Genomic DNA, 21,748 nt, shown 5'->3' on the forward strand with positions numbered 1-21,748 from the left:
ACAGGGCCAAATAAACTACACACCTGCATTTCATTACAACAGGTCATTGCGGGAACAGTGGCATTAGCCTCCATAGGAAAAGGGTTTGCATGGGGGTCTAGGAAGCCAGTTAAACACATGAAAAACACATTGAGACACCTGGACAGAGTGATTTATGAAGCAAGAACTGTTTTCATGGTGCCAGGGTCCTGTCCTCGCAGATGCATGAAACGTACATCTGCAGTTCTGACATCACAGCGGACACGGGACTCTGAGTGATGCATTACTGAGTTCCCTGACAATGTGAAATGCATTTGTCCCGTTTTTTCCTAAAATGGCCCACCTATTTTCAAATGCAGAGTCCTGTGCGATGTCATACATTTCCACAATGTTGCTTTAAAATAAGAGAGGGCAGGAAACGTGATTCCGACTCTGCACCCAGATGGACTGAGGCATAATATGTCTGCATCGTTGATGGCAGAAAGGGGGCGTCCAAGTCAGGTTTTCCGTCTTCCAAGCCAATCTTTCCCCTTCTAGACCGGAAAGATTAAATGGCAAGTAGAACACCAAGTCAATCTGCCCAGACTCAAATTCCATTCCCTGACCCCCTCACATAGCTGTAACATGCTTGGGCATAATCCTAAGCCTCTCTGTGTCTCAAGTTTTCTCTCCATCCAGTCGGGATAAAGGCAGTAGCCACCTTGTAGTAGGCTTGTTTCCATGAGAGTGTTTAGCTGCTCTTACTATGACTGAAAAAACATAGCTGCTTGCATTTGCAGACAGAGCCTTGTGACTTGGTGCAAAGAAAGGAAAACATCTTTGCCGAACTTGGAGGTCTCATCTATTCACTCAGCTCTAAATATGGGCTTCTCTTGAATAACCGCAGGTTTGGCCTGTGTGCTTTCTTTCTCACACCTTTTTGTTCACTTGATGAGGATGCCGAGTGCAGCGGTACATTACGCTTGGCTCAACCGTGGCAGAGCCAATGTGGCCATGGTGAGAGATCATTCAGGATGGATGACTGCTTAGGGACTGGCAGGGCAAGAGTCTCCCAGCTGTTGCGGCATTTCATCCTGTGGTCTTTGGTCATTCTTTGGCTTTTATCTGAGTACACCCGGCATGGCATTTTACCAGCTGTACTGGGGAGGACTGGGGGAATGGAAAGCTGGCATTACTGCTGAAAGCAAAGAAAAGATGTGTCTTTCTCTGTGGCCGGTTTTTGTAATCCGGGAAGACCCCATGTGGGTTTTCTGATCTCATGTCAGCTTCCCTAGTTGAAGTATAAAATTGCTAGAAGAACCACATCATCCTCGGAGGGACAGGCAGGCATCCTTAGTGTTCTTGAAATGATTACATCGTCAGTTTCATTTAGTTCTAGAAGACTGGCCCTGCCTGTTGGTTTTTCCCCTAATCGTCTGTGTAAGAAAGACTTACCCTTAAATGGGTGAGTTACAGGCAGGGCTCAGTTTCTGTCATTACACTGATCTTTCATTGACAGTTTTCCACCCTCTGTTACTCTTGGCATCGGGCTGGTCAGCCATAACTTCTAGGGATGGGGAGAGAAATCGAATCTCTTCTATTCTTCTCTGTACTGCTTCAATCTGGCAACTTCTACGTAGACTGTGAGAATATAACCTTGTAATAAACATTTGGGTCTCTTTGCCTTTGTCCGAGAGCCCACTGTTATTTTTTTTCTAATCACAGCAGCTGCTCTAGCTAGCATCTGGCTCATATACCAGCAGCCTTTATTCTGAGACTAATCTAAGGATTCAACACCAATTCAGGAAGGCAATCAAAGAAGTGGGTTGGATGGACAAGTATTTCCTTTGTGTACAGTTCAGATGCAGAAGGTGGTAGACACCTACATTGATGCATTGTCCTAGCATCCTACAGATCCATGGGGTTGCCAAGGGTGGCTTGGTGGGGTTGGGGGGTGCAGGTGAATTTGGCTGTAGCTGGCATAAATGGAGGTGCTTGCATGTTGATTCCTGGGCCCTTTGACCCAACCTCTGGTTTGGGGAGAGGCTGCTGATTAGAGCAGATGCACACACCTTGTAACAGGGCCACTGAGTTCTCCCAGTCTTCCATCCACATTTCTTCTTTGTCATCAGCGTTCCCTCCTCCTGTATTTTCCCTTTCTAGAAAAAAATATGAGCTGTGATTTGTACAAAACACACAAAATGCATCCGTTGGAATCAGAGATCCAGGAAACTTCAGCTGAAATTAACAACTTCGTAACACAGGTAGAGCCTACGTCCTTCATGAGAAAAATGACACAAATCTCAGTATTCTTTGTTTGGAGTCTCTTGACATCCATGTGAGGTACATATTTTCTGTATTCTATTTTATTTTAATTCACCATGAAAAAGAAACTGGTCAAATAAAGAAGCCAAGGCTTTGAGGAGCAGAATCATTTATTTGTGGTGATTCAGCCATATTTACTCCCAGTGTTTCAACTGTGAGCTCAATGCACTGTTTTCATTACTTTTACTATATTGCAAGTTGAATACAATGAAAAAAAAAGGAGAAACATCTCTTCTTAAGCCTGTTTTACCATTATTTTGCTCTCTGATTTTTCTTAGAAACCAAATCCATGCAATGTGAGTGTTTTTATCTCATTTAGTTCTCACACATTAATGAGGTGGGTATATTGTTATTCTCATGTAATAAAAACAGACACTGAGGCTCAGAGAAGTTAAGTGACCTGAACTGGGCCACACAGCTGCTGGGGACCAGGGCTGGGATTACCTGGGTAGTTGGATTCCAGCACACTTATTTTTGAGGTTAAGTTTATTAAGGTGTAATTTACATGTGGTAAAATCTACCCCTTTTAGTTGTATGTTCGATGAGTTTTGACATATGCAGTCTTTTTTTTTTTTCTTTTGAGAGATGGAATTTCTCTTTTGTTGCCCAGGCTGGAGTGCAATGGTGTGATCTTGGCTCACTGCAACCTCCGCCTCCCAGGTTCAAGCAATTCTCGTGCCTCAACCTCCCAAGTAGCTGGGATTACAGGCATGCACCACCATGCCCAGCTAATTTTGTATTTTTAGTAGAGACGGGGTTTCACCATGTTGGTCAGGCTGTTCTCAAACTCCCGACCTCAGGTGATCCGCCTGTCTCAGACTCCCAAAGTGCTGGGATTACAGGAGTGAGCCAACGCACCCAGCTGACATGCAGTCTTATAATTGAGATATAGACTATTCTGGCCAGGCATGGTGGCTCATACCTGTAATCCCAGCACTCTGGGAGGCTGAGGCAGGCAGGTCACCTGAGGTCAGGAGTTCGAGACCAGCCTGGCCAACATGGCAAAACCTTGTCTCTACTAAAATTACAAAAGTTAGCCAGGCGTGGTGGCATGTGCCTGTAATCCCAGCTACTCGGGAGGCTGAGACAGGACAATTGCTTGAACCCAAGGAGGCAGAGGTTGCAGTGAGTGGAGATCATGCCACTGCACTCCAGGCTGGGTGACAGAGGAGACTCCGTCTTAAAAAGAGAGAGAGAGAGAGAGAGAGACAGAGATTATTCTATCACCTGAAAAGTTTATTTGTGTGCTTATAGTCAGTCCTTTCTTTCTACCCTTGGCCCTAGAGCCCACATTCTTCACCAGCACACCTTAAATAAAAATAAGCCCAATTACGATGCAAGGTATTTACACCGTTTTGAGTATAGCATGATCATATCAGCTTTTAAGTCAATTAAATCTCATAGTGCGACAGTTTATAAATGTTACTTTATAATGAATAGCTGAAGTATAGAAAAGTAACAAAATGACACCAGAGTGACCTATGTTCCTGGTCCTTGTAAATTATGCCAGGATCTCTGACTGCAGGGAGGGCATTCAATGAATGGGAACGCTTTTGATTCTGAACAGCAGCCTTAGCCAGAGCCGTTAAATGGGTTTCTGTCCTGCTCCTTCTCAAACTGACACTGAGCAAGCGCCACCTGCTCCTGCTCCAGGGGGCTATTCAACCATGTAGTCCCAGGGGAGCCAGGGCTGTGGGAGGTGTTGGTTGCTAAGAAGCAACGAGCCTGAGGCCTAGCCGCGAGCCTGAGGCCCAGCGGAGCTCCCGGTTGCCCTCCCTCTGCTCTGACCACAGCTTGTCCCTCTGCCAGGCGCTGCCCTCACAAGGCAGCCGAGAAGGACATCAGGCTGGCGGCTGGGGAAACCTCTGGCTCGGGGCTGGAGAAACAGTTCTGGGCATGTGGTTGAGGGAGGACACATCTCTTCTTTCTAGCCCAGGGAGTGTCCTACCTCCATGTGGTTTGGGGTTCAGGAGAGAATTCAGCCCATGCCCGTGGAGTCACATCCCCCTGCAGAGGGCACACACCCAAGCTGCGCTGAAGGAGATGCCCTCCCCTGTGCCCTGGGCATCCCCCAAAGCCAGGCACCCTCTCCCTCCCCTGGGACAGGACGCCAGGACAGGCCCCAGAGCCTGGGAGCCAGACTTTGCCCGGCTTTCTTTCCTGAGCGTGCTTCTATCAGCTCCTGTGGATGAGTCTGTTCTTTCCTATGTTGCTGTCTGAATGTATTAATTAGTCTGCGGGCAGCTTAAACAACAGAAATGTATTCTCTTATAGTTCTGGAGACCAGAAGTTTACAATCCTGGTGTCTGCCGGGTTGGTTCCTTCTGAGCACCATGAGGGAGAATCTGCTCCAGGCCCCTCTTCCGGGCTTGTAGATGCTGTCTTCTCCCTGTGTGTCCACACTGTCTTCCCTCTGCATGTCTGTGTTCAAATTGTCCCTTTTAATAAGGACACAGTCCTATTTGATTAGAGCCCATTCTAATGAGCTCTCTTTACTCGATTGCAAAGATGTTATCTTCCAATAGGATGACACTGTGGGGTACTTGGGGTTAGGGCTTCCTCATGTGAATTGTGGGTGGAGGTCCCAATTCAGCCCACCATACTGCAAAAGTGGTAGTAGCTCTGCCCAATGTCAAGGACCATTCAGAACCTTCTATGATATTAATTTTCAGGAAACTGACAGCAACACAAAAGTCGTCACCATGAGTCTTTGTTGAGCCAAGTTGAATAAACAAGTGGCTTATTTTACTAAAATACAAATCTACTAAATACACTAATACTAGTAAAATACTAGTAAAAATACTAAATCTACTAAAATACAAATCTACTAAAAATACAAAATTAGCTGGGCATGGTGGTAGATGCCTGTAATCCCAGCTACTTGGGAGGCTGAGGCAGGAGAATTGCTTGAACCTGGGAGGTGGAGGTTGCAGTGAGCCAAGATCACACCATTGCACTCCAGCCTGGGCAACAAAAGAGAAATTCCATCTCAAAAATAAACAAGTGACAAGTATGAAATATGTAAGATTTGAAAAGTCAGAGGGAGTTCCAAATGAACTCAACAGTGTGGGCTGGACATTTCACTGTGAAATCTGTGAAATTAGAAGAGTCCACACAGAAGTCATTAAATAGCAACTGTTCCTTAAGTTGTAATGTATATCTTTATGAAATTATATATATGGCATGTGGTTGGTTTTATAAAAGAGAGACTATATATATGTCCACCTATAAGAAGATGAAAAGAAAATATTCTGAAGTATTAACATGGATTAACTCTGATTAGTTGAATTGTAGGTGGCTTTTTGCATTTTTCCTTGCTCATTTATGTTCCAAAAATTTCACAACGGCCATATCCTACTTTTGCAAATAGAAAACAGTGTTCTTCAGCATGAAAATTGGCACAAAGAAGAATTTTTTTAAAGTAGAAAATGCGAATTTTAAAAATATAGCTGTGAAAAAAAGTATAAAATTAATTCCAATAAAATAAATCGTGGATACCTGAAAATGATGGTACGTTTATAAATGGTTTGCCTAAACTGCAGTGATGCTAATTAATTCTCTTACCATAAAGGTCAGGATAAAAAAATGACAGGAATAGAACGTAGTATTTGAGGCAGAATTTCAGCCTTTGGGTCTTCCAGAGGTGAGAATGAAAGAAGAGAGGAGGAATTAGAAAGGTTAATGCCTTTGTCATTGAAAATCCCATCACTTTTTTTTAACCAACTTTTTTTTTGTTTTTTGGTTTTTTTTTTTTTAAAAAACCTTCTAGCTGAAGTTTTCTTTTGACATGAATTTCTACACCTTTAGGGATTAAATTAATGCTCAATTTTTGGAATGTTATTAGGAGAATTATAGATGACAAAAATATCACTGGCGAGAAATTAAATCTTTTCTGTCTCTGTCACAAAATGTAGGCATAAAAGTCTCTTCTGCTCATCAGACAAATTCAGCAACTTTGATTTTGAAGTTGCCTTTGATGATAGGTCTTCAATGTTCCTGAGAATCCATTTGCTTAATGATCGAGGTGGCCTCAAGCAGTCTTCAGCTACGTGCTTACCTGCCCGGCTGTTGATGCCATTTCACTGTGCAATCCCTGTGCTTTGCTTCTCTGTTCATTCAAAGATGGATCATCTAAGAGCCTGATTAGCCTTCGTCAAAATAACATTACATATAATACCATAGTAACAGGCCTTTTTGTTTCTTTATAAACAGGGTGATTCAGAGAAAGCAGACAAGAAACCCTTAGAAGGGCTTACTGGGGTGACTGGAGGCAGTCCTGCATTTTGTGTCTCTGCTGTGTGGGGTATTAATTGTGCGAGGAATATGCAATATCTGAAACTTCATGGTCCCCATGTGCAATATATACCAAAGATATGCGGATTCGTGTTTTTCCCCTTTTTTATGATCCATCTAGGGAACTGCTTGTCGAGATGCTGCCATTCCAGGGGAGCTAAAAACCCTGAAACCATTAGAAGTGTTGATATCAGGATGCTACAGCACAAAAAGAAGACAGCACTGTGGAGAAAAATAACTTACGAGAAGACACAGCACCGGGGGATAGACGCTGTTAAGTAGCACTTGCTAACAAGAGCTTTCAAGCCACCATGAGAACGAGATGGATTTATTTTCCTTCCTTTGCAGAATCTCAGCAACTCTGTGGTAGACAGGGGCCAACAGAAGTCAGACGTTGGGAACGGGGGGCAAAATTTTAAAGAGGACTCAGGAACAAATACTTCCTTTCTTTTCATAAACCACCCATTTAACATCACTCAACAATGGCTGTTGTGGTAAACGCTGTCACTGATGGATAAGTGGGGGGAGCGTGGCTGCTGGGTCCAGGCTCCTTAGATGTGGCCAGTAGGAGGCATGGATTATCATTTTTCTTTGGCAGGGAGGGAACTGAGACTTCAATGAGGAATTTCTCCAGTGATACGCAGCTGGTGGGGACAGTCAGTGGTTGGCACACCTCCCTCAAGAGCTGACAGCGGTGTGAGTTAGGGGACTCCCCCGCTGCCCCCGATGTCAATCATTCTTGGGTCTCAGCTCCTCCCCTCCACGCTGAGATGGTTGCTTTATTCTCTGCCCGGCCCTCCAGGCTGTGAGCCACCAAAGTGGAAGCAGTGGGTCCCTTCTGCTTGGGACCCTCGGGCCCAGCCCAGGACCTGGCTCAGCAAAGGCAAAAATGAACAGTCCAGGAGTTGGTCCCCTGACCTGGCTGAGTCTGGGTACCTGTCTGACCCTGTACCCGTGACTTTTTCTCCTGACAGCTTTGCACATTGGTAAAGGTACCTAATTTCTACGTTTCACTTTAAAAAGTAGTCTTTACTTCTTAGCCTGGGAGACACCACAGTCCTTTAACTAGAGAAGTTTTCCTGTGCCGTAGCCGTGAGAGGCTGACAGCAAGACTGGGAGGAGCCCATTTCACTTCCATCCCTGCGTGGCTTGATCACGGGGCCGAGAGGGAACGCCTCTGTGAGCCAGGGGCCTCTGTGGGTCCAGTTGTCCCTTGTCCCCTGTGGATCTGGCAGCATGAGGATGCTCTCTTTCTTTCTAGTGTTGCCAAAGCCAGATTCATGAATAAAGCTCTTACGAATATTTGGTGGCCACATAGGCAAGTCTACTGGGGAGATGGGAAAGAAAGGGAGGAGTGTATGGCACCCTAAGAAATTTGGAGATGACCTGGGCCCTGACAGCTTCAGAAGCCTCCTTATTCCCTAACCCTTAGGGGTCTTCAAAAGTGGTGAGCCCCCCGCCCAGTCCAACCATATCTCACCAAATTAAATATCAAACCAAGTTCTTTTTTTTTTTTTTTTTTTTTTTGAGACAGAGTCTTGCTCTGTCACCCAGGCTGCAGTACCGTGGCACGATCTCGGCTCACTGCAAGCTCCGCCTCCCGGGTTCACGCCATTCTCCTGCCTTAGCCTCCTGAGTAGCTGGGACTACAGGCACCCACCACCACGCCTGGCTAATTTTTTGTATTTTTAGTAGAGATGGGGTTTCACTGTGTTAGCCAGGATGGTCTCTATCTCCTGACCTCGTGATCTGCCTGCCTCGGCCTCCCAAAGTGCTGGGATTACAGGCGTGAGCCACCGTGCCCAGCCTCAAACCAAGTTCTTAGAGTGAATACAGATTTACCCACTTAAATGCTAGAGGCATACATTCAGAAAAAAATATTATTAGACTGCAGTTTGGACCCCAAATTTAACCAGCTGGAATTCATTTCACATTTCATACTCTTCAATCTCTGGAATGAAAAATACGTGTCTTTTAATGGGAACTTGTATTTTATCCTAAAGATGGAACAAAGTGTACTGGGCTGAATTATTTCCCAAATAGGCATGATCTGTCTCGTGTTCTGGGTTATGATAAATGATAAAACAGGTTTGGGTGAGTTGGCTTCTAACTGATGTATGAATAGCACACTGATTTTATGGGTATAGACAACAAAGGGTGGAAGCGAGGCCTTCCACTGCAGCATTCTAGAAGTCGTGTAATAAACACTCTCAAAACAACCACAGAAGTCCTTCAGGCCCAGGCATGGCCCATGATACAATGAAAAGGTTTCAATGACTGTATTAGAATAATTTTCTGAAAGCTTGGAATTACTGGGTTTCTCCAATCTTTTCCTTACTTCAGGGAGACATAGTGACTAGAGTTGGATTGAGCCACACTGAAGCCCAAGACAGAAGGAAATATCGGTCATTCCAATCCTGTCTATTTCAAATTTTAATATTTCGTTATCTATTTATTTATTTATTTTGAGACAGCCTCACTCTTGTTGCCCAGGCTGGAGTGCAATGGCATGATCTCGGTTCAGTGCAACCTCTGCCTCCCAGGTTCAAGCGATTCTCCTGCCCCAGCCTCCAGAGTGGCTGGGATTACAGGCATTTGCCACCCCACCCAGCTCATTTTTTTTTTTTTAATTTTCATTTTTAGTAGAGACGGGTTTTCACCATGTTGGCCAGGCTGGTCTCAAACTCCTGACCTCAGGTGATCCACCCACCTCGGCCTCCCAAAGTGCTGGGATTACAGGCATGAGCCACCGTGCCTGGACAAAATTTTAATATTTTGTTCATCATGACTTTTTGCAGTACTTTTTATTTGAAAAATATTGCGTTAACATATGATTTATTTTGATTACTGAGTTTCTTGGAGCCCTCTTAAATTTTGTGCCCAGGGGAAATGCCTTGCTTGCCTTATCCAGTGGTGGCTATTTCAAGAACACTGTGATTTTGTAATGGATTTCACAAGGAAGAATAGTAGACTGAGAAGTAATTGAGTTTTTTGTTTTCAAAGGAATTTGTTTGTGGGACTGTTAGTGATGTTTGGGATGCCAGCACATTTTCTGTTCAAGCCCTGAACTGAAGACCTAGGTATTGATGATGTTGCACAGCTCCTAAATGTAGCATACTTATGTTCAGACATATCTTTATGTCCATTCTAAGCTCAAAGTACAGACAGAAATGGATCCAAGGCCAACTATTCACGTGGAACTTGATGTGGTCTGTTCAACTAGCAGGGTATTGAATATGAAGGGATTGTTTGTGATTTTGCAACTTAGTGAAAAAAAAATAGTCACCCAGCCTTGTCTATGTGCTGAGTCAGACACCTCTCATGTGTCACTAGGCCCTCTCTGAGGACCCCCGTGGGTGGCTGCCTCAGCGTGGGCTCTGCAGACTTCAGGCAGGTACACAGTAACAGCATGTCATCTCCTGCCCACATCAATCACCTCCACCTCCACCCCTTGCCTTGGGGCTTCCTCATCAACCCAGGCAGATGCAAGGTGCAAGACTTTGCATGGTCCAGATGCATGGGGAATTGGTGCTCTGTGGAGCACCTTGGATCAACGAGAGATGGCAGCTGGTGGTGTAGGGTCCAGCCCTACGGGGCTTAGCGGGTATTCTCCTCGTGTGTGGAGACAAGAGATTGTAATAAATAAAGGCATAAGACGAAGAGATAAAGAGAAAACAGCTGGGCCTGGGGGACCACTACCATCAAGGCGCGTAGACCGGCAGTGGCCCCGAACGGCTGGGCTGGCCGTTATTTATTGCATACAAGACAAGGGGGCAGGGTAAGGAGGGTGAATCTTCTAAGTGATTGACAAGGTGAAGCAAGTCACGTGATTACAGGATAGGGGGCCCTTCCCTTTTAGGTAGCCGAAGCAGAGAGAGAAGGCAGCATAGGTCAGCGTTTTCTTCTCTGCACTTATAAGAAAGATCAAAGACTTTAAGACTTTCACTATTTCTTCTACTGCTATCTACTACGAACTTCAAAGAGGAACCAGGAGTACGGGAGGAGCATGAAAGTGGACAAGGAGTGTGACCATTGAAGCACAGCACCACAGGGAGGGGTTTAGGCCTCCGGATGACTGCAGGCAGGCCTGGATAATATCCAGCCTTCCACAAGAAGCTGGTGGAGCAGAGCGTTCCCTGACTCCTCCAAGGAAAGGAGACTCCCTTTTGCGGTCTGCTAAGTAACAGGTGCCTTCCCAGACACTGGCGTTACCGCTTGATCAAGGAGCCCTCAAGCGGCCCCTATGCGGGCGTGACAGAGGGCTCACCTCTTGCCTTCTAGGTCACTTCTCACAATGTCCCTTCAGCACCTCACCCCATGTCCGCCGGTTATTCCTAGGTTATATCAGTAATGCAACAAAGAGTAATATTAAAAGCTAATGATTAATAATGTTTATAATAATGATTGATAATTGTTCATGATCATCTCTACATCTAATTTGTATTATGACTATCCTTATTCTAACTATTTTCTTTATTATACTGAAACAGTTTGTGCCTTCAGTCTCTTGCCTTGGCACCTAGGTAATCCTCCACCCCACGGTGGATAACTTTTTAGTCTTCTCCCTAGAGCCTCTGTCCTCAGACACAGTTCACACAGCTCTCGGGGGCCACACTGCAAGATCAGCATTTAGAATTTTGTGTTTTAAAACTTTTTTTAAGTTTTAATTTTTGTGGGTACATAGTAGGTGTATATATTTATAGGGGACATGAGACATTTTGATATAGGCATGCAATGTGAAATAAATACATCATGGAGAATGGGGTATGCATTCCCTTAAGCATGTATCCTTTGAGTTACAAACAATTCAAGTACACTCTTTAAATTGTTTTAAAGTGTACAGTTATTATTGACTATCGTCACCCTGTTGTGCTATCAAATAGCAGGTCTTATTTATTCTAACTATTTTTTGTACCTATTAACCATCCCCACCTCCCCTATTCAGCCGTAAAAAAGAATGAGATCTAGTCATTTGCAACAACATGGATGGAACTGGAGATTATTATGTTAAGGGAAATAAGCCAGTTACAGAAAGACAAACATTGCATATTCTTACGTACTTGTCAGGTCTAAAAATCAAAACAATTGAACTCGTAGACACGGAGGGTAGAAGGATGGTTACCCTCCGGGGCTGGGAGGATCAGCATTTGGTTATACCTCTCAATGGCCAGTCTGATGAAGAATCCTCATAGCAGCTGCCTCTCCACTCCCCACCTTCCCATCCTCTCTCTTTCACTTCTGGCACTGCCTTCTCTAATAAAACCATAGTGCAACCGACATCTGCCTCATGCTCTGTTTTCTGGGAAACCCAGACTAATATATATTCTTCACTACTTTCCTGCAGATCTTGGTGCAACAGAACTGTCAGGAAAATTTACTTCAAAAAATTGTACCTTTAAACACCTCTCCTGCCTTTTTATGGATACCGGGCATGTATGAGATTATCAGAGGAAACAGTTAGATGCACAAGGATCTTCATATACCCATTTGTTATTTAGATTCCCTTTAATTGGGGTTTTATTAGATTCTGAAGCACTCTACTTTTATTCACGAACACTGCCAAGAATGGAAACCTCGCTTTCTGAAGCTGTGTGAATTGCTTGGCACGTGTTTAAGAACCCAGAGGCATCTCATCTGCCTCCTGGATCCTCCTGTGGCCCCTCCAGAGAGTCCCAGCTCATGCACCACCTGCCTGGCACAGGGCCAAGGATGCAGGCTGTGATTGTGAATTCTGGTGTTGAACCTTAGATGGGTATGTAGCATGTTCTAATGGTGAAATAAGGACAATGTTGAAGGAAGTCATTGTGAGGGAAATATGTCTTTTGTTTGAAAGAGCCCAGTGGTGTTACTATTTGTGATTGTGAAGGTCAATCCAAGTGGAATACACTGTCTCACAGAGGGCCACCTGTCTTTTGTGGAGGTCTCTGGAGATAAAAATAGGGACATTGCTCTAACATGTTTAAAGAGGGAGGGCCAGTGTCTCTGATGATGTAGATAGACACAGAGCTGGCTTGAGCACCAGGGACGCTGATTTCAGGCGGTTGAAGGAGGAAGGGGCTGTCCTTCTTCTAGACTCTTTGGTGAGCATCCAGGAAGATGCCGTGTCTGCATGGGGACAAGGTGTTGTGGAGGGTCCCAAACAGGAGCATTTTATGGAAGAGAAGTCATTAGGGTGGGTGTCGGGCTGGAGATGATCAGGAGAAGAATGAGAACATCTGAGCTGAGTATTGTGATATAGACTGCAAGACTCATGGTGGCATTCTCCTGGGAGTGGAATTATTAGACAATCTAATGGATCTGGTTTTGCTGTGGTTGAAGTTGATGTGACTTTTTCCTCTACTACCCCTCTACTACCTGCTTCCCCAGAAGAAAAGATAGCAAAATCCCACATGTATCAACCCATGCTCTTCTTAGCAGTCATAACTGATTCACTCTCTAGATCCCTTGGAAAACATCAAAGAAGATATCTGCTGACAAATTCGCAGATATCTGAATGCATATTCATGAAGCTCTCAAATACTCTAGTCCTTAGTTCTCTAGATAATTCTAATAGCATATTTTCTACACCTGCATTAAATTGGTCATTGTGGCTATGCATATTTGTTTAGGGAGAACTTGTACTGCCTTCTGCATAACCTAACATATTAAGCTATATTGATATCTAAACTGAATGACACATTGGTGGTATTCATGATACCATTGAATCATTTCTGAAATTCCTAAGAAAGAGCTCAGGATTCCAGAATCTCATATCAGGGTTTGCTCTGAAGCCAATTTATTGTGCCCTGTTTCTTGAATATTTGATTTCATTTATTAGTTCAATGATAATAAATAATACTTTTGAACTATGACTACTTCTGTTCAGTCGGCAACATATGTTCTTAGGATGATGAACTTGTAGTTGGAGCTCATTCAGAACAGAGATAAGAGATCACATCTTCTCCTATTTGGGGATGAGAGTGGGGTGGAGAGAAAAGGCAGCCTCTTCCCGAAGATGCTAACTTCTGTCACGTCATGAAAAAGAATCTTTTCGTTGGTTGCTTAGAGAATGACCTACCTCCGTCTGTCTGTTCATTTGACCATCAACCCATCTACCCATCCGTCCACCCATTTATCTACTCATCTGTTCATCTATCCATCCATCCATCCATTCATCCACACACCCATTCATCCATCCACCCACCCATCCATCCATCCACCCACTCATCCATCCTTAGGTCCACCCATCCATTCTTCCATCCATCCATCCATCCATCCATCCACCCATTCATCCACCTATCCATTCATCTACCCATCCATTCATCCATTCAACTACTCATCCATTCATCTATCCATCCACACATCCATCTGCTATTTATTTTAGTAGAGCCTAGCTCTGGGTGCTTATGTTATTTAAACATTAACAAAGATCTGATAGCATTTCTGGAATTGAGCCCTTGGCTGTTGTTTGCCTCTGCTTATTCCTAAAAGCCAAGTGTTCTCAAAACTCCAGCCTGTGGTGTTAATGAAGTCACATTTACCTTCAAACTCAAATCTTACTGCCTCCTAACTCCCCACCCGCTGATAGAGGCCCTCAGGAGGTATGCTGCACACAGTACTGAGAGATGCTTAAGTACAGTGGCTAAAAGGAAGGGCTCCAGAGCCAGCTTCTTGGGGGCTGAATTCTGCCTCTGCCTCTTCCCCACTTCGTGGGCTTGAGCAAATTCCTCTCTGTGCCTCAGGATATAATTGGTAAAGTGAGGCTGATGAAGACACTAAGGGCATCTACCCCATCAGGGATGCTGTCAGAACTCAATGAGTTGATGGTGCTTGAGCGCCCTTGAAGCCTGGCCCCAGCAGCATGAACCATGATTACCCGACACCCAGCCTGGTGTAGACTCTCTCCAGTATAAATTCAGTGAAACTGCAACTGCCTGGTATTGTAAAGACCAGACCCTGGGAATGGGGCAGCTCTTGGAGAATTCCCCCTCTGCCCTCAGACCTCCATTGAAAATGTCAAAAGGTCCCAAAGAATTCTGAAATGAGATACTTTCAATACTTTCAATAACGAGTTCTTTTTTTGTCAGGATCATTTTTTGATGTGAGACACCTTCACCTACGACATAAATCACCTTCATTGTGTCTCCGTTAAATAGAACCTGACATAAAAACCCCATCTTAGAAATCCCGAAAAAATGACTGCTTTTCTCCCCTGTGCACATTTCATTTTGGTTTTCCTCTGGTTTCTAAAAAGTGATCTTTTATGGAAAAGTTATTCATGACATTTGAAAGGCATCCATATTTAAGGCATTTAAAGACTGTGGGGTTGAGCATGCACCTATTTTGCACTTGCCTTCCATTTAATTTGACTTTATTCTACTCTAAAACACTGTTCTTTTATTCCGTGAAATTTTCTTTTATTTGAGCCATCTATGAATTATGCAGGGAAAGATACTGGATTTGAATGCCAGAGTTTAATCACCTGAGGTGGCTGTTCCATCTCGGATTTGGTCCAACTCAGTAGTAGTCAGATTTCCACCCAGTGCAGCAAACGTACGAGCCTTGTGTTTAAAAAGAGGAGGCATCAACATAAGGACAGACAAAAAGAAGCAGGCATTTTTACTTGCAAATCTGCTATATTTAAGAAATGGTTTACCTGATTTAAATCATTTTACATTGACTCAGATGGAAGGTGAATGGTATTCGTAATAAGTGGGAAGCTTTACTTTGCTTCTTTATTGGGTTATTGTCTGCATAATGCAATAAGCATACACGAGGATGGTTCACTTTGTTAATATAAATCTGGATCATTTACTCTATTTATTTATACCTCTCAGATTCTGAGAGCAAGGTTTTCCGAGATGATACATTTACCATTAATTAAGGGTTGACAAATGACCTGAGAATTTCTTATGGCAATGTTGAACGTCAAAGGAAACTGATTGTTATTTTTCTGATATTGTTTTTAGGCTAAAGACCTGGACCCAAATATGAATTTTGAGGGTACCTTATCCCTTAGTCACCTATCATGGTTTTCTCCTTGTTCGGTGCTCTGCTGTTTTTTTCTAGGATCCCATTCAGATAGTGGCATCACAGTAGCAATTCCTGAGGTCAAGGAAGTCCAGGCTCCAGTCTTGACTCTGCCACTCATTAGCTGCATGATCTGGGGCAAGTCATGCTCCCTACCTCCCTCATTTTCTTCATCTGAAAGTTAGAGACTTGGCTGGGCATGGTGGCTCATGCCTGTAATCCCAGCACTTTGGGAGGCCGAGGCGGGTGGATCATGGGGTCACGAGTTCGAGACCAGCCTGGCCAACATGGTGAAACCCCATCTCTACTAAAAATACAAAAATTAGCCGGGGGTGGTGGCATGTGCCTGTAATCCCAGCTACTCTGTAGGCTGAGGTAGGAGAATAGCTTGAACCTGGGAGGCGGAGGTTGCAGTGAGCCAAGATCCTGCCACTGCACTCCAGCCTGGGACAGAGTGAGACTCTGTCTCAAAAAAAAAAAAAAAAAAAGTTAGAGACTTTATAAGCTTTTCAATCCTTTTCAACTCAAAGCATACTTTTTGATAACAACCAAAAAATGGGATTGACAAAATGCTTCTCTCTCCATAACTAGAACCACGTTAAGCTTTGAGGAAACACCCTTTCTGTTTACATGTGTGGTGCATTTCACGCGGCTCCCCAGACTTCACACCCAGAGAATCTTGCCCAAAGTGTTAAGTCTAACCTTAAAAGACTTCATACTTCTAGTTAACCTGGTAAAATGAAAATGCAAAGGACAAGTATAAACAATGGCAGAAAAAATAGTTTATAAGTAGGAGGAAACATAAGAGTTTCTTAGTTGATTAAAATTTATTTAAAAAGAAGACATTGGGCCGGGCGCGGTGGCTCACGCCTGTAATCCCAGCACTTTGGGAGGCTGAGGTGGATGGATTATGAGGTCAGGAGATCGAGACCATCCTGACTAACACGGCAAAACTCTGTCTCTACTAAAAATACAAAAAATTAGCCGTACGTGGTCGTGGGCGCCTGTAGTCCCAGCCACCTGGGAGGCTGAAGCAGGAGAATGGTGTGAACCTGGGAGGCGGAGGTTGCAGCGAGCCAAGATTGCGCCGCTGCACTCCAGCCTGGATGACAGAGCCAGACTCAGTCTCAAAAAAAAAAAAAAAAAAAAAAGAAGACATTGGACATGGTGACTGGAACGAAAATACAGCAGCCTAATGACTGTCATTAACAAAATGACGCATTAACAATGCTGATCTTGTAGCTGATACAGAACCTTGGCTGTTGCCTTCATATTTTCATTGAAGTTGTGCTTGATCTCCCTCCTGGTTTCTCTTGTTACTGGTGACCTGCATTCCTAGAGCAGTGGATGTGGATGAGGGGGCCGGTCTGTGCAGCTTCAGTACATCCTTTCTTGGTGGATCCATTCCTACTCTCACTAGCACAGTGCTTTAGCCATCTGAGCTAAAGTAACATAGAACTTGATATAATGCAAGAGATGTTTGCAACAATAAAAGAGACAAAAGTAATCCCGAGTATATCTGATAACAATTGCTTTTTTCTTTTATTTTTTGCCTTTAGCGACAAGGTGCTGGGGCAACCAATGGAAAAGACAAGACATCTGGTGAAAATGGTAAGAGGACATGAATAGTCCAAGTTCTTTCTCTTTTGCCATCTGCAGCCCTGGGTATGCAGCAGGTGCGGATCATACATCCCATCCCAAACAGCTTACTATATGTGTCTGCGCTTCAGCTTACAGAGGATTTTAGCAATTCACAGTGAGCACTGAGGTCTGGTTTTATGAAGAAAACTGAGCTAGCTAAATGCCGTGATAAGAAGTTTCCCTTCCATAGGAGGACTCCCATTTTGGGCAACATGGTAATTACAATGCAAATCTAGTTCTCTGCTTTCTTCATTAGGGTGGGTGAGAATCATCCAAGTTGTTGTGAGGATAAAATGAGATCAAACGAGATAAGTGATTTGAAAACTGTGAAGTACACAACTTCTGAAATGATGTTTTAAAACTTGCTTCAGCCCTCCGGAGCACACACAATGCGGTGCTGGTCCACTGGAAGGTGCTGAGTCAGTGAATGTCACTGCAGCGATTCACCAGCAAATAAAAATGATAGCAGTGACAGGAACATTGCATCCTGCCTCTTCATGGGCCCATCTCAACCATGACCCTAAATTGTAGGAATGATCATCATATTTTTATGGATCAGGAAATGGAGGCTTGGCATTGGGGTGAGATTTAGCTAGAAATGGGAAGTGCATGGATCCTGAAGGAAATAGAGCCAGTTGGAACCCCAGGTCTCTAACTTTAGCAATTGACATAAGAACAAGCATAATAATAAAAAATACCCAGTGGTATGCACCAAGGGCCACAGCATAGTTCCGGTGAGGTGAGACTCTGGGTGTTCTTCCTTTCTGTTAACTCAAGATGAACTCTCCTTTTATGGAAAATGACTCTTGCTTCCAACTAGATGAAATTGATGCTAGTGTCCATCAATCAGATTGTGGATAATGCCAATCTCAAATACCATCGGTTAAAATTCCCTGGGGCCTCACAACCCCTTTGGAGCCTCTGTGGTGGGTCTGAGCTGAGCAAGACTCAAGTATGAGAATGTTGCTCTGCGTCTGCAGCCTGCCAATATGCCCACCCATTTAGGGCAGTCCTATTGGGCAGGGTGAGTGCAGTGTTCCCTGGGTAAAGGGGTCATCATATCAATAAGTAGAGAGGTGGGGGCTCCACAATGTCCTAATTGGAGCTAGGGGGCTGGGAGAAGAAGGAAACAAGGTTTTCCATGAGGCCAATGGCTCTTCCTTTGCTGCCCAGGGCTTTTCCTGTCTCCTGTGTGTGAGTTGGGGTGGGTGTGTGGGGTACTGGCAAGGAAGGCAGGAAGCAGAGGAAGGAGCAAAGGATGGGGCTTAAAAGGGAGGAGCAATATTGTAGTTGCCTATATGAGGAAGGACCCACTGCCTGCCATAGGGGAGCATAGGGCGCTGTGAGCCTCCACTGATTTTCCCAGTTCATACATTCGTAGCCATCTGTTCATGCAAGTTCCTTTCCACTGAACCTCACAACCTTAGAATTAGAGTTTTACAGTCAGAAGACTTCTCAGAGATCCTCTATTGTCGTGATTCTCAACTTTTTTTTGAGACAGAGTTTCACTCTTGTTGCCCAGGCTGGAGTGCAATGGGACAATCTCGGCTCACTGCAACGTCTGCCTCCAGGGTTCAAGTGATTCTCCTGCCTCAGCCTCTTGAGTAGCTGGGATTACAGGCACCCACCACCACGCCTGGCTAATTTTTGTATTTTTAGTAGAGACAGGATTTCACCATGTTGGCCAGGCTGGTCTCGAACTCCTGAACTCAGCTGATCCACCCGCCTCGGCCCCCCAAAGTGGTGGGATTACAGGTGTGAGCCACTGCACCCAGCCAACATTTTTGTTCTCACAACTCCTTTCCATTTTAAAGAATTCTTGAGGACCCCAAAGAACTTTTGTTTATGTTGGTGATATCTATTGATGTTTGTCATGCTGGAACCCTACTGACTCTTATAGAGATGGTACTGAAGAAAAGACCTGGAGCCAGTGAACAAGACATAGGATTTATTGAGGGGAGTTACCTATAGGGCAGTCCAGTGGCGGTGGGCTGGATAAAAGAACCACAGCTGCCTGTAACAAGCATGCAGTTTACACAGCGTTTTCACTTAGCACCCTCCCTCTAGCAACTTCTACTTGGCAATCTACATTCATTCCAAAACAAATGTCCCCAATCCCCTGTATGGCCTGCATCCCATGGGATGGGCTGGGAATTCAGATGTTCCTCATAGATAAGAATGAATCTCTATACTGGCCACTCCCAGATTCCTTAGCTCGGAACTCGACTCCAAGCACACATTCTTCTTAGACCATAGGGTCATTCTCAGGGTATGCTTAAGTTACGCTATTGATATCAGGTGTATCTGCCATACACTGTCTCCTATATTAGAAATTAAAATGGAGAAAGTTTTAAATGGTTTTTCTTATTAATTTATTAAAAATAAAATAATAAACCCACTACATGTGAATGTAAGTAACATTTTAAAAAATGAAAAGTCATTATATTTTCCAAAATGGAAAAGGATATTTAGTAAAAAGTGGCAATTTTACATTTCTGCAACTCTCTTTAAAGTCTGGTTTGACAGAGGACAGCTGGATTTTCATACTGGCTTCTGTGTTCAATCTGTTATATCATGTGATGTGTAGCCTATGGAAAATTCCACTGCTCACTTGTGAGAGTATGAGATTTAAAAGAGCAAATAATATCCTTTAAGATCAAACTCTTACCTTTTATAATAATAATATCTTTTATAAGACCAAAAATGTTTTTGATCTTTTGGGCTCCCTTAAAGGATGTAGGCACCCCCCAGGGTACCTGGTTCACACTTTGGGAACTACTGCTCAGCATGTCTCATGTCATGCCTTGAGGAGCCTGAAGACCAGGCACATGGTGACGAAGCCAGGACTAGGTCCTATGTGTTCGATGTCTCTGCCCCTTGGCTTTATCTTGACATCCTATTGGTCTTTCAAACCATGCTGACATGCTCAGTGCTTTGCACCAAAGGGAATTACCGGCTACTATAAGTGATGCCATTTTCTGCCATTCAAAGACATGGAATTTCTTTTAGCTGAAAACCAGTCCACACCAGTGGAAACTGAGTGAGGTTTTTTATGGAGGTATAAAAATTAATTAAATGGAAATATTCCTGATGCTATGAATAAGGCTTTTCATTAGATAATTCTAGATATTAAATGATAGTCACTTTTGGGTAGAAAAGTGAATTTGAGATTATTTTACAGTTACTGGATAATGGCAATGTATAAATGTAAATTATTATTAACATGCTATACTTTAATTTCAGCTAAAACTGCCTATATATGATATTTGTACGTGATACTTTATTATAATTTAAAGTCTGTGCTTTTGCCTTTAAAAAGGAGCAAAGACAAAAACTGGAACAGCCCAAGAAAGATGAGGGTAAAAACTTCTAGAAGTAATCTAAAAAACATTTTCCTAAAGAATTGAAGTTACTTAATTTTTTATTCTTAAATTCCTGATATGAGACGATCATCTTGGAATTTCCATTTTAACCTAGTATTACATTCCATTGAAATTCAAATGATTTTATTCTGTCATTATAGGTATCTAGGGAGATCTATTATGTTAATGTATATTTCCTATTAATATCAAATGAAGCTGTCTACATGTCTTGAAGGAGCAAGGACCCTTGAGTATTGAAATATGAAGTATTAAAAAAACCATCAAAATGTTATGAAATTTGGATAGTAACACTTCATAATAAAAGGAACATTCTCAATTGTATTAATTGTCTGTACAAGTCAGGGTGTTTGTAATCCAAATATTGTAAATTTAGTTGAGGTCTCCATTTAATGTATAAAGCAATAAAGACTGTGGGAGTGAACTACAGGTGCCTTGAAATTATTTGGATCACAAAAGACCCAAGTCAGGTACATTAAAACTTCAGAAGGTATTTAGATTCCTGGGCTTTGCTGCCATTTCATTACATTGAATATTATCTTGAGAGCACCATTTTCTGGGAATGAAATTTCTCATACATTCAATATTTATTTTTGTTATTGTTGTCAACATGGTATTTATTGATGTGAAATATGACCTACTGCATACTCTCCAGAATGTTTCAAAATCCTTCTCATTTTCCCAGGATGTTAACCTCAGTACACACACTCAAACCCGATGTTTCTACTAGAACTAGATTTTGTGGTATCATCTGCTGTAGGAAGACAGGTTTTTCAGAAATATTAGGGTTATAATTTTTTTTAATGTAGAAAATAAACGTTTCAGGGCTTGGAGGTTCAGAGATTTTTCATTCCTCTATGAGCAAAGCACCTTCATCATTTGATTAGTTAAGCCACAGATTTCATTTGTTTCTGGAAATAACTTTCTACTTGAAAGAAACAATAGCTCATAGCTTCCATTATAAATCTTTCTGTCTCATTTAAATGGCTAAATTAAATTCAAACATGTTTACAAATATAGACACAACCATCTGAATCTAGATTATTCACCACAAATTAGTAATTTGAACACAACCGAAAGATTTTTGGGGGAAACTACATTGCTGGATTTCTTGATCCATACCTTGATACTGGTTGTCCGGA

The 21,748-nt window shown here is 43.1% G+C and overlaps 1 protein-coding gene across 1 annotated transcript in view, besides 3 other annotated features; it reads left to right on the forward strand.

Moving 5' to 3' along the window:
* PCP4 (Purkinje cell protein 4) overlaps positions 1-21,748 on the forward strand; it is a 61,955-nt gene that overhangs the window by 13,894 nt on the left and 26,313 nt on the right. Inside the window, exon 2 of the mRNA NM_006198.3 lies at positions 17,145-17,196. Within this exon, the coding sequence (NP_006189.2) occupies positions 17,145-17,196 (52 nt within the window). The remainder of the gene's footprint in view (positions 1-17,144; positions 17,197-21,748) is intronic.
* Positions 8,135-10,463: a meiotic recombination region, noted in NCBI's record as "PCP4-1a sub-region, crossovers mapped in sperm cells". NCBI's record gives the evidence for it as "EXISTENCE:DNA detection assay evidence [ECO:0005519][PMID:16680198]".
* Positions 8,135-12,655: a biological region, named in NCBI's record as "meiotic recombination hotspot PCP4-1".
* Positions 12,148-12,655: a meiotic recombination region, noted in NCBI's record as "PCP4-1b sub-region, crossovers mapped in sperm cells". NCBI's record gives the evidence for it as "EXISTENCE:DNA detection assay evidence [ECO:0005519][PMID:16680198]".

This window comes from Homo sapiens, chromosome 21 (assembly GCF_000001405.40).
Source record: "Homo sapiens chromosome 21, GRCh38.p14 Primary Assembly".
Classification (NCBI taxonomy): Eukaryota; Metazoa; Chordata; class Mammalia; order Primates; family Hominidae; genus Homo; species Homo sapiens.